The 12545-nt window shown below is 38.5% G+C and overlaps 1 protein-coding gene across 9 annotated transcripts in view, besides 1 other annotated feature; it reads right to left on the bottom strand.

Moving 5' to 3' along the window:
- The window catches only part of ARHGAP44 (Rho GTPase activating protein 44), a 202146-nt gene that overhangs the window by 169049 nt on the left and 20552 nt on the right, over positions 1-12545 (bottom strand). The gene's annotated exons all lie outside the window — the stretch shown is intronic.
- Positions 6697-6786: an enhancer, noted in NCBI's record as "active region_11737". NCBI's record gives its function as "activates an Ori minimal core promoter by ATAC-STARR-seq in GM12878 lymphoblastoid cells {active_cell/tissue: GM12878}" and the evidence as "EXISTENCE:reporter gene assay evidence [ECO:0000049][PMID:35858748]".

Genomic DNA, 12545 nt, shown 5'->3' with positions numbered 1-12545 from the left:
CTTGCATTCTAGACTTGGTTTCTTTCCATAAATAATTAACAGTAATGCTTTATTAAATAGAGTATGGCCTTACTTATGCTTCATAGACCTCTTGGCATTGAACTCCCTGAGGTATCAGAGCTTTAACCCAGAAAAAGAGCAGGAATGCTATCACTCTTCCTCCCAAGCCAAGGGCAACCAGTGACAATCCATTGCAGGGGGCAGCAAACTATAACCTACACACCAAATTCTGCCCATCATCTGGATTTTTATGGTCCACAAGAATAATTTTTACATTTCCAAATGACTGGAAAAATATTCTGTGACAAATGAAAATTACATGAAATTCAAATATCCATGATTATAACTCGATCTACTAGAACACAGCAATGCTCAGTCATTTATATATTGTCTATGACTGTTTATTCACTATAATAGCAGAGTAGTTTCCCACAAAGCCTAAAATATTTACTGCCTGGCCCTGTACAGGAAAGTTTGCCAACCCTTTATATATTGTAGCCCTCCTTGACCAAATCCAGGCTCAGACTCTCAATACTTTTAAGTTAGTGCCTCAACAAAGTATCAATCAACTAGAATTGGCACCTAGAGCTAATGAAATCCCAAGCCCATCCAACACTAGGACTATAGGTCTTTATATGTAAGTTGGTAAAGTAGTGTATAAATCTTCTAATGGTAGTGTCAGAATAATCCTAGGAGATGCCAATCAAAATCAAAGCAATAACTAGACTACTTACCTTTCCCTATAGGAAGTCGGTTGATCTATAATACAAAGCTGAGATGTTGTTTTTTTAATAAGCAACATTGTGAAAGTAAAGATTTTAAAAACCGTGATTCACATTGTTTGGAAAACATCCAAAAGGAAAGGAACATAACGCTCTGCTTCCTTTTGGAAGAAAGAAACATAATGCTCTGTTTTGATTTTTTGCTTTTCTATTTTCTCTAGTTGGTGTTTTAGGATCAAAGTTTGAGATTAATGCTCAGGCACTGCAATGGCTCTCTAGCTCACGGTAGGCCAGGGAAAGCTATCTGCCCCACCTATGCTGTCTGTCCAACTTCTGTAACTCATACAGTAACAAGACTGGTTTTCTAACATTGTGCAATGTATAATAAAATGACTCTTGTTTGCCTTAAGGATATCACAGCTGAAAGAGCTGCATATATGAAGCCATGCAAATTCCAAGGCCCAAGGCACATTTAGAACTTTTTTATTTTGTGAATAACCTTCTGACCCAGGTTATAAACAAAAACCACAATAATCTAATCTCAAAACTTCAGTTTTACTGATAACATTGTTTTCTATCAATTGATAACCAGGTAAATGGAAACACCTGAAGACAACACATCCCTTACTCATCCCCATGCCCACGTTTTTGTTTTTGTCTTTAATCCTTGCTGAGTTGCACAACTGTCCTGTTTTGATTTCAGTCAGATTTGGCCAGTGCCTTCTGCTAGTCTATAATGTCACCTCTTCTGACTTAGCTGTTTGTTCAAATAGATGATAAATTCGCCAAATCAGTGAGATTGTCATCAGTGCCAAATATCTTCCCATATGCCAAACTAAAATCTAATGGGCATATTTGGAAAAGCATAAAGATTAGGGCAGTTAACTACAGTTAAAACCTTTATAACTTCTTTCTCTTCCAAAAAGCCAGGAGACATCTATCCATTCTTCAGGGTTTTAGATATGGTCTTCAAAGCCTCTGCCTGCCCGAACAAGTGAAAGAAACAAAGGTTGTTCTTCCGAGACTCACATATTCTCAGGTCTTCTATAACTATCACACTGGAATAACATAAAATCACACTGGGATAACATAAAATCTCTATCATTCAATCTTCTTTTCCAAGGTCTGTCTTTTAAATCTGCCTGTTTGGTAGCCATGTCTTCTTGAGAAACCTTCAATCACATGATTCAACACACTGTAGGGCCTCAGTGAAGGTATCCATGTGGTGTTGAGGGAACACAGACTTACTATATGGTCTATCTCTCACTCACCCACATGTTCCTCAAGGACAAGATCCATCTTCTTCATTTTTGTATTCCCACGATAGTGCCAGGAACACAGTACAGACACCACAACAGCTTATCAACTCCATTTTCCAGGTCATGACCTAGAAATACATCTTAACCTTAATTTTACTTAAACCTGGAATTTAATACTCTCCACCTATCATAACTGGTAATTTTTTTTCTTTTTCACTTTTTTAGTTGAAGTTTTAAAAATTGTGTTATTAAATCCTGAGTAGTTACAAAATAATATTTAAAACATTTAAAATATGGGTATTATATGTATCAAAACATCACAACGTACCCCATGAATATGTACAATTATTATTTATCAATTCAGAAAAAATTTTAAAGATGAATAAACTACAAATACAGTCCAGAAACAGACCTAAATATACTATACTATCAACTGATTTGTGACAGAGTCAACTGCAATACAATGGGGAATAAATGCTGCTGGATAAATTGGATATTCAACTGGAAAAAAAATGAAATTAACTCCTATGTTACAACACACTCAAATACTTATTTGAACTGGATTACGGATCTAAATGTAAACTAATAAAGCCTCCAAATGAAAATGCAGAATATCTCCTTCTATGGCATAGGCAATGATTTCTTCAATAGGACACAAAAACTATTAACCATAAAAGAAATGATGATAACTTGAACTTGGTCAAAATTAAAAACTCTGTTCATAAAGACATCAAGAAAACGAAAAGGCAAGCAACAATGAGGGGGCAGCATTGGTAATAACACAATCAGCAAATGACTTACATGCAAAATAGATAAAGAACTCCTACAAATCAAAACAGAAGAGATGAAGAATCCATTTTTGGCATAAGCAAAGGATTGAACAGGATTTCACAAAAGGAGACACCTGAATGTCCAATAAACTCATGAAAAGGTGTTTCACATCATTACCTGTTAAGGAAGTACAAATTAAAGCCATGATAAACTACTACAACACAGCTACTGAAGTGGCAAAAATTAAAAAAAAAAAAAAACTTGACAGTATCAAATACTGACAAGGGTATGGAGCAACTGGACATAACTGGTGGGAGTACAGATGATATAAATACCTTGGGAAACTGTTTGGTGATTTCTTACAAAATTGATCCATCAATTTTACTCCCAGGTACTTATCCAAAGAAACAAAAACACAATTCACAAAGAGATTTGTTCCATAATGTTGATAGCATATGTTTCTCAAAAAAGCCAAAAACTGGAAATAATTCAAATGTCCACCAATAGGTGAATGGATAAACAAATTATGGCATATTTGAGCAACAAAATACTTAAAAAGACCAAAAAAAAATACTGATATATGCAACACGTATGAATCTCAAAAATAATACATTGAGAAAGAAGTCAGGCACAAAAGAACACATGCCATATGATCTAATTTATGTGAGATCCATTCTCCATTAATTGCCCTGGCATCTTTGTTCAAAATCAATTGATCGTATTTGTGTAGGTTTCATTTTGGACTCTCTAGTCTGCTGAGTTGGATCTAAATGTACATGTCTTTATCAATACCACACTGCCTTGTTCATAGTAGCTTTACTGTAATTAAAATTGGATAGTGTGATCCTTCCAACTCTGTTCTTCTTTCTAGATTGTCTTGGCTACTCTAGTTCCTTTGCCTATCCATGCAAATTTTAGAGTCGGCTTGTCTGTATCTACAAAAATACGCTGCTGAAATTCTGATGGGAATTGCACGAAACCTATAGATCAATATGGGGAGAAATGACATCATAAACAGATTGAATCCAACAATCTCGAATATGCTATGTCTGCACTTAAAAGTCTTTTAAAATGTCTTTCAACAGTGTTTTATAGCCTTTGGCACATGGATCCTGCACATAATTTTGCTACTTCTCTAAATACTGTTTTCTAAATTGTTCACTGCAGGTATACAGAAATATAAGTGGCGTTTAGACGTTTCTGTGTCTTGAGACTTTCATAAATTGTTATTAGTTCTAGGAGATTTTTCATAGAGTTCTCAGTATTTTATACATAGGTGATCACATCGTCTACAAATAGTGGCAGTTTTATTTATTCTTTTTCAATATGTATGTCTTTTATTTATTTTTCTTGCCTTATTGCACTGATTAGGATCACCACTACAAGGTTAAGTAGAAGAAATGAAAGCGAACATCCCTGCCTCAATTTCAGTCTTAGGGGAAAAGCGTTCACTCTTCTACCATTAAATATGATGTGAGTTGTAGGGTTGTTTTTTTTTTTTTTTTTTCTTTTCCAGATGCACCTTACCAGTTTAAAATTCCTAATAATTCTAGTTTGGTAAAATGTCTTATCATGAATGGATTTTGAATTTTGTCATTTGCTTTGGCTGTACCAGTTGAGTCATTTAAAATGAGAAATTACAGTGATTTGTGAATGTTGGCCCAACCATACATTACTGGGGTAAATAAACCTCACTTGGTCATAATGTTTTATATTTTTTACATATTGCTGCATTTGATTTGTGAAGATTTTTTACATCTGTGTTCATGAGGACTGTTCGTCTATAATTCTCTTTTTCTGTAATATCTTTGATTTTACTATCAGTGTAATAAAGACCTCACAAAATAGATATGAAGTGTTCTCTCTCCTTCTGTTTTCTGAAAGAGACTGTGTTATTCCCTCAAATGTTTGGTACAACTGTCAGTGAAAATACCTGGTCCCAGAGTTTTGTTTTCAAAAAGAACTCTATTTATAGTAATAAAAGTATTCCAATTATCTCCACTTTTCAAGATACATTATTTCTTCTTTGGTGAATTTCAGTAATTTGCGGTTTTCAAGGAGTTGGTATATTTTACTCAAATTGTCCAATTTATGTGCAAAATGGTGTGTGATACTTTTTAATCCTTTAAACAACTTTCCAGGTCTGCAGTGATATCCCGTTGTTTATTCCTGATATTAGTAATTTGTGTTTTCACTTACATTTTTCCTTAGTCGGTCTGGCCAGATCAACTTTATCGATCTTTTCAAAACATCAGCTTTTGTTTTCATTTATTCTAATTTTTTTCTGTTTTCTATTTCAGTGATTTCTACTCATCTCTTTATTACTTCTTTCATTCTGCCTGATTTGGGGTTTATTTTGTTCCTCCTTTTCTATTTTCTTAAGGTAGAACCTTATATTACTGATTTGAGACCATTCTTCTTTTACTTCTTAATTTTTGTGGGTATATAGTAGGTATATATACTTATGTGCTACATGAGGTTTATTGACACAGGCGTGCAATGCATAATAATCACAGGGTAAATGGGGTATCCATTCCTCTTTTCTAATTAAGCATTTAATGCTATTACATTCCCTCCAATCATTAGATGCACCCCACAAATTTTGATATGTTGTGTTTTCATTTTCATTCAGTTCTAAATACTTTTTAATTTCCCATGAAATTTCCTCTTTTCACCTATGGATTATTTACTTAACTATATTACCAGACATTTGGGGTTTCCTAGTTATCTTTCTGTTACAGATTTCTAGTTGAACTCCATTATGGTCAGAGAACATACTCTGTATGGTTTCACATTTTAAAATCAGTTAAAAATTTACTTTATGGATGAGGATATAGTCAACCTTGGTGAATGTTTCACGAGCACTAGAAAAGAATATGTATCCTCTGTATATCTTATTGTTGAGTGAAGTATTCTATAAATGCCAATTAGATCCAGTTGGTTTACAGTGTTGTTCAGTTCTTCTATGTCCTTGCTAATTTTCTGTGAACTAATTCTATCAATAACTAAGACAGGAGTGTCAAAGTCCTCACCTATAACTGTGGATTTGTCTACTTGTCCTTTTGGTTCTATCACTTTTTTCTTCATGTATTTTGAGCCTCTATTCTCAGATGCATACACACGTAGAATTATTTTGTCTTTCTGGTAAACTGACTCTTTTATCAGTATGTAATGTCTTCCTTTATCTCTGTAATTTTCCTTGAAGTCCACTGTATCTGATATATTAATAAATACACCCCACCTTTCTTTTGAATTGAGCAAGCTTGCTAAACTCTTAATAATTCTAATTATTCATTTGCAGTAATTTTTTAGTTTACATAAACAATCATATCTGAAAATAATGACAGCTTAAAGCTCCTTTCCAATTTTCATCCTTTTTATCATATTTAAGATTTATGACTTTCCCTACCCTAATATAATTCCTCATCATATTCCACTCAAATTAATTTAAGTGTCCACTGATTTTGTCCTAAAAGCTTGTGTGGCAGTTTTAGCAGGGGTGTGTATGGTTAGTTTTATACCTTCTCAACTGGAGAAGGTCACCTTCTTTGCTCAAGTTTATAGCTTCAAGATGAATAAAAGAAGAGTGCTGAGGAGCAGAGAAAACCATTTCTCACCACCCAAATATGCCTAAAAACCAAGAGGCTCAAACAGATCTGCCTTCTACTTGACATTTTCTTTGTTGGCTTCCTTCATGGCAGGCTCCCCTTTTTCAATCCACCCTGCATACTGCAACTAAGGTACTGTTCCAAATCAACCATGCCTATAATCTCACTTCCCCTTTCAACTGCGTTCAGTAACTCCCACTGCCTCACAGACCATATCTCAACTACTGTGCTCAGCTTCCACAGCCCCACTAAAAGCCCAGTCTCCCCAGCATTTGACCTTCCACCAACCTCCACAATACCCACTTCCTTCTAAATAGTTCCATCTGTCCAGTGACTGTGAAACACAACATCTATTCCCAACTCTCTGTACTTGGTTCTCTTCCTACAGACTGCCTGCTCATCTCCTTATTTAACTCTGAACTATTCTTAACGGCTCACTTTCAAGTTCCACCTCCCCCATGAAGCTTCTCAAGCAATAAAAGGAGAGGAAAGAGAGTTTTCAATTCTTGTCATGTTGTTGGTATCTGACCTATGTACATACCACCCAACGGCCAATTTGGGACCTGGGCAGTTCCTGGATTCCACTAGGTTCTAGTCTGCCACTTACTTGCTTTGATTTGGAGCCAATTTCTTATCTTCTCCTGACTGGTATACTCTCCTGTAAAATGGAGTCATGGGGGCTCTAATTTCATAATAGTTTAAAAATCTATCATTTTCCTCAGGGATCATAACATTCTCCCACTCAAAATCCTTTCTGATCTTTTAGTCTTTACCTCTTTGTTATGTGCTATATTCTATTATTCACGCTTCCAGCCTTTTCTACCCCACCAAGGCTATTTCTGTATTTCTCCTAGTATTGAACACAATACACTTTTATTGGCTATGTGGGGAAACTGCTTATTTCCCTCACAGAATAAGTGCGAGGCGGAATGTTTGCAAGGAAATACAGTAGACAGCCGTGTATGAGATTGTACATTCTAAATGCCTACAGGATAACCTTTAGGGGAACCCTGCTTCTCCTCCCTCTTCTATTTTGTTCTACAAAATCCCAGGAGACTCTGGAGAATCAGGAAAGCCAGGACAAGAATCTTTTAAAAAAAAAAAATCAAAAGAACAACCTGCAGCAGAGTCCTTTTGTCCTCACTTCTCTAAAGCCAGGAGAGAGGAGAAGTAAAAGCAGGTGGTGGGGGAGGTTCAAGGAAAATCAAACCAGGGTTTCTAATGCCCTGGGTAGGGGTGGGAGAAGGTGAGGAGAGTCGGGAAGAAAACTGAACAGTTTCCTCACAACAATCTGACCCTATCAGTCAACCATGATTCAGCAATATTTACCACTTTAAGATGTGTGAAAAGTAAAGGAGGGTTTTTGCTTTTTTGGGGGTTTTTTGGGGTTTTTTTCAGAAAGATAAATCAAAAGTAAAAATAAGGAGGGAGCAGGAGATAAGAAGGAAGAGAGGAAAACAAGAGGAGTACACCCAGTGGAGGAGTGTGCCAGGTAGACGTGAAAAATTAAAACCACTAACAGCATTTGCTATATGTAATATGAGGGTGCAATATAGGTATGCTTGCATATATGCATATAAACATATATTCCCATCAATATATGAACTTGCTTGTCTTTCACGGTGGCCTCTATTCAAGTAAAGAATTAATCTATATCTGCTCCGGGTACAGAAAAGTTACACAAACAAGCTTGGGGCCAGATGCGGTGGCTCACCCATGTAATCCCAGCACTTCGGGAGGCCGAGGCGGGCAGATCACCTGAGGTCAGGAGTTCGAGACCAGCCTGGCCAACATGGTGAAACCCCGTCTCTACTAAAAATACAAAAATTAGCCGGGTGTGGTGGCAGGCGCCTGTAATCCCAGCTACTCGGGAGGCTGAGGCAGGAGAATTGCTTGAACTCAGGAGGCGGAGGGTGCAGTGAGCCGAGATCACGCCACTGCACTCCAGCCTGGGTGAAAGTGCAAGACTCCATCTCAAAAAAAAAAAAAAAAAAAAAAACACCAGTTTGGGAGGTGGCTGCACAGTAACAGGGAAGGGTGTGTGACCTGGCAGGCCCCCCACCACCCAAGGAGAGTGTATCAGAGTCTGAAAAACCCCAAAGAGAAGAGCATACACATTTCAGGCTTATCAAAAAGGGAGATGAATTAAGAAAGCCTGATAAACACCGCTGTAGACAATTAAGCTTTTGGTCAGCACTAAGAAGATAAAACATAATCGATAACCCCGAAGGAAAGGAAGAGATTGCCCTTCTGAATATTTAGATGAAATCTCGAAATATAACACCAAGAAGGTGAGGTCGAAGGGGGCAATGAGTCACGACGGCAGACAGTTGGACTACGTGTGTCCCAGTTCCACACTGGTACTCACCGTGAGCCAGGAGAAATGCCAGCCTGCAGCAGCCTGGGAATAATTTGCCCACATGGTTATATGTGATGTGGGGTGCAATATATGTATCCTTGTATATATGCACATAAACATGCCTCCCACCACCCAAGGAGAGTGTATCAGAATCTGAAAGATACACTCTCTTTGTGTGGTGGGGGACGTGCCAAGTCACACATCCATTCCTGTTACTGAGCATCCATCTCTCAAGCTGGTTTTTTGTAACTTTTCTGTACCTGGAGCAGATACAGATTAATTCTTTACTTGAATAGAAGTCACAGTGAAAGACAAGGAAGCTCATATGCAGATAGAAATGTATGTATTTGTATGCATATATATGCATGTTTATGTGCATACAGACAAGCATACATATATTGCACCCTACATTACATATAACAAACACTGTTAGTGGTTTTAACTTTTCATGTCTATCTGGCACACTCCTCCACTGAGGTACTCCTCTTGTTTTTCTCTCTTCCTTCTTATCTCCTGCTGTCTCCTTATTTTTACTTTTGATTTGCTCTTTATCTTTCTAAAAAAAAAAAACAAAAAACCTCCTTTAACTTTTCACATATCTTAAAGTGTAAATATTCTTGAATCGTGGTTGACTGATAGGGTCAGACTGTTGTGAGAAAACCGTTCAATTTCCTTCCCGACTCTCCTCACCCTCTTCCACTCCCACCCAGGGCAGGAGATTAGAAACAGAACATGCAAAGCAAATTCAAAACATAAAACATAGCGTGGGCAGGACGGTGCAAAGCAGCTCTAAGGAGACTGGCCTGACTGCAGCATTGGCCAACAGTGAGAAGTAATGGAGCTGAGTAAACCAAGGTCCAATTACTCCAAGGCCCTTGCATGTGTGCATGGGACCTGCCATTGCTGAGTGGGTGGATCAATAAAGGCAATACTCCAGATAAGTAGAGACTTTTATAGAACACCATATGACTGTGATTTTTTAAGTTGTTAAGGGAAATAAGGTATTTCAAAATGCCAAAGTAAGGTCAGTTCAAAGAGTAGCTTGTTTAAAAAAAGAGTTGAAAGTAGCTCATGCATTCAGTAAGAAATGCAGTCTGCTTCTCTTCCCTGTTCCCCAGTTGAGAAGCACTGTTCACAACTTTTTATATTCTTCCAGAGATCTTCTATGCACTTGTGAGCATGTTAACCACGTGTGTTTGTGAACCTATTTATCCACCATACAGAAATTATTTCTCTTTACAGAAATTAGGTCAAATACATATAACATGTTGAGCATCTTGCTCTGTTCCCCTGTCAGCGTGTCTTGGAGGTGGCTGCATATTGCTGCATTTGGATCTGATTCAGGTAAAATTCATCTATAGATGTCTCACAATCTATTTAATGCGTTAGTAATGTTTCGAGGAGTAAATTCTATACACATCTAGATCCAGGTCTTAGATTTGCATGTCCCCTTTGCTTTAGTGTACTTTGCTAGCTTAAATCTTCCCTTGTATTTTTCCCTCATCTCCATCTGTCGAAATCCCATGCGTCCTTCCGAAGTCCAACCGAAATCACCTTTTGTTCCTTGAATTCTGGCTGATTACTCAAGCCATACGTGATATTTCTGGCCTCCCAATTATTCTAGCATCTCATACTATCTTAGGGCATAAGTAAAAACCAGCCTCAAATATCAGCAGTGTGTTTATAAATCTTATTTTTCCTACTGGAATATAAGCCCCTCGAGGGTAAGATTATTAGACTTACTCATGTTTGTTTGCCTCATGTTCCCCACCCCTGACCTTGGCACAAAGCAGGCAGAAAAAAATACTCTTTGTTGAATGAGAAATGTGTGCTTCGTGGGCCCTGTGGGTTCAATTGTGTCCCCCAGAAGTTATGGTGTCCTGACCACAGGAACCTGAGAATGTGAATACAGTTGGAAACAGCATTGTTATCACAGATATAATTAGTTAAGAGAAGGTTGTAGTGGAAGTAGGGTAGACCCTTAATCCAATATATGCCCTTTTAAGAGGAGGAGAAGGGACGCAGAGATACAGAGGGAGAACACGCATGATGACAGGGGCAGATACTGGAGGAATGTGCCTATAAGCCAAACAAAACTAAGGATTGCTGCTGACACCGGAAACTAAAAGAAAGGTATGCCTGTTCCAATACTGTTCTCTGACATCAACTGGGTGTCCTAAAATTCAACTCAATGCTGACACTAATTACCTAGACTTAATACAGACCCAACAAGGAAAGAATATTTCACAAAACTGCCCCATTTCAGACGTATATACAGTTGGCCTTTGAACAACACAGGCTGGAACTGTGCAGGTCCACTTATACACAGACTTTTTCCAATAAAAGTTACACCAAATATGCCTGCCTGTCCTGCCTCCTCTTCCACCTCCACACCTCTTCTGCCTCTGCCACCCTTGAGACAGCAAGACCAACCCATCCTCTTCCTTCTCCCTCTCAGCCTACTCAATGTGAAGACCAGGATGAAGACCTTAACGATGATCCACTTCCACTTAGTGAATGGTAAATACATTTTCTCTTTCTTACGATTTTTTTTTTTTTTTTTGAGAAGGAGTCTCACTCTGTCACCCAGGCTGGAGTGCAGTGGTGCGATCTCGGCTCACTGCAAGCTCCGCCTCCCAGGCTCACACCATTCTCCTGCCTCAGCCTCCCAAGTAGCTGGGACTACAGGCGCCCGCCACCACGCCTGGCTAATTTTTTTGTATTTTTAGTAGAGATGGGGTTTCACCGTGTTAGCCAGGATGGTCTCGATCTCCTGACCTCGTGATCCGCCCGTCTCAGCCTCCTAAAGTGCTGGGATTACAGGCTTGAGCCACCGCACCCGGCCATGATTTTCTTAATCACATTTTCTTTCCTCTAGATTACTTTATTGTAAAAATACAGTATATAATACATACAATATATAAAATATGTGCTAACTGATTGTTTGTGTTATGGTAACACTTCCAGTCAACCGGAGGCTATTGGTAGTTAAGTTTTGGGGTGGTCAAAAGTTACACCTGGATTTTCGACTGCACAAGGGGTTGGTCTCCCTAAATCCCTCCTTGTTCAAGGGTCAACTGTATATGATACAAGTGAGAAACAACCAAGTGAAAGAGATACATAGACAGGGAAAGGTCTGGGGTGGAGAGCAGGGGATTCCTCGTGGAATTGCAGGTGCATCACCCTCCTAGCACATCAATGTGCTCTCACCAACTGGAAAGCCCTACTGAGCTTCAATGTCCAGAGATCTCATCCCATATGCATGATTGATTAAGTCAGTGGCCACAGGACTGAGCTCGATCTCCACTTCTCCCCTCCCCAGAAGTTGGGGTGACTCAAAGTTCTAACCCATTTGTCACATGGTTGTCCTTTCTGGTGACCAGCCCTCATCCTCAAGCTTTCTATCGCCCCATTATGAGTCACCATATTAGCATAATAAAGAGACTCCTATCACTGAAGATATTCCAAAGATGTTTGAAGCTTTGTGCCAGAAACTGGGAACCAAGATAAGATATTCCTTATCCTAAACCAGCATGGAAGAGATTCTCCCCTAGATTCTTCAGAGAGCACAGCCTTGGTGACACCTTGATTTCAAACTTATATCCTGCAGAACTGTGCAAGAATAAACTTCTGTTTGTTTTAAGCCACCCAGTTTGTGGTGATTTGTTATGGCAGCTCTGGGAAACTAACACAGTGGGTCAAACAAGGATTTCCCTTATGGGTGACACTCTAAGCTAAATGGGAGCTACCAGTATTTTCCCTTTACTTCCACAACATCTAGTACTTTCTAATGCCCCACAGGCCATTCCTCAGCCCTCCTCTCTGC

This window comes from Homo sapiens, chromosome 17, assembly GCF_000001405.40.
Source record: "Homo sapiens chromosome 17, GRCh38.p14 Primary Assembly".
Classification (NCBI taxonomy): Eukaryota; Metazoa; Chordata; class Mammalia; order Primates; family Hominidae; genus Homo; species Homo sapiens.
Note: the sequence above shows the minus strand (reverse complement) of the source record. Positions and strands in the feature narration are given on the sequence as shown.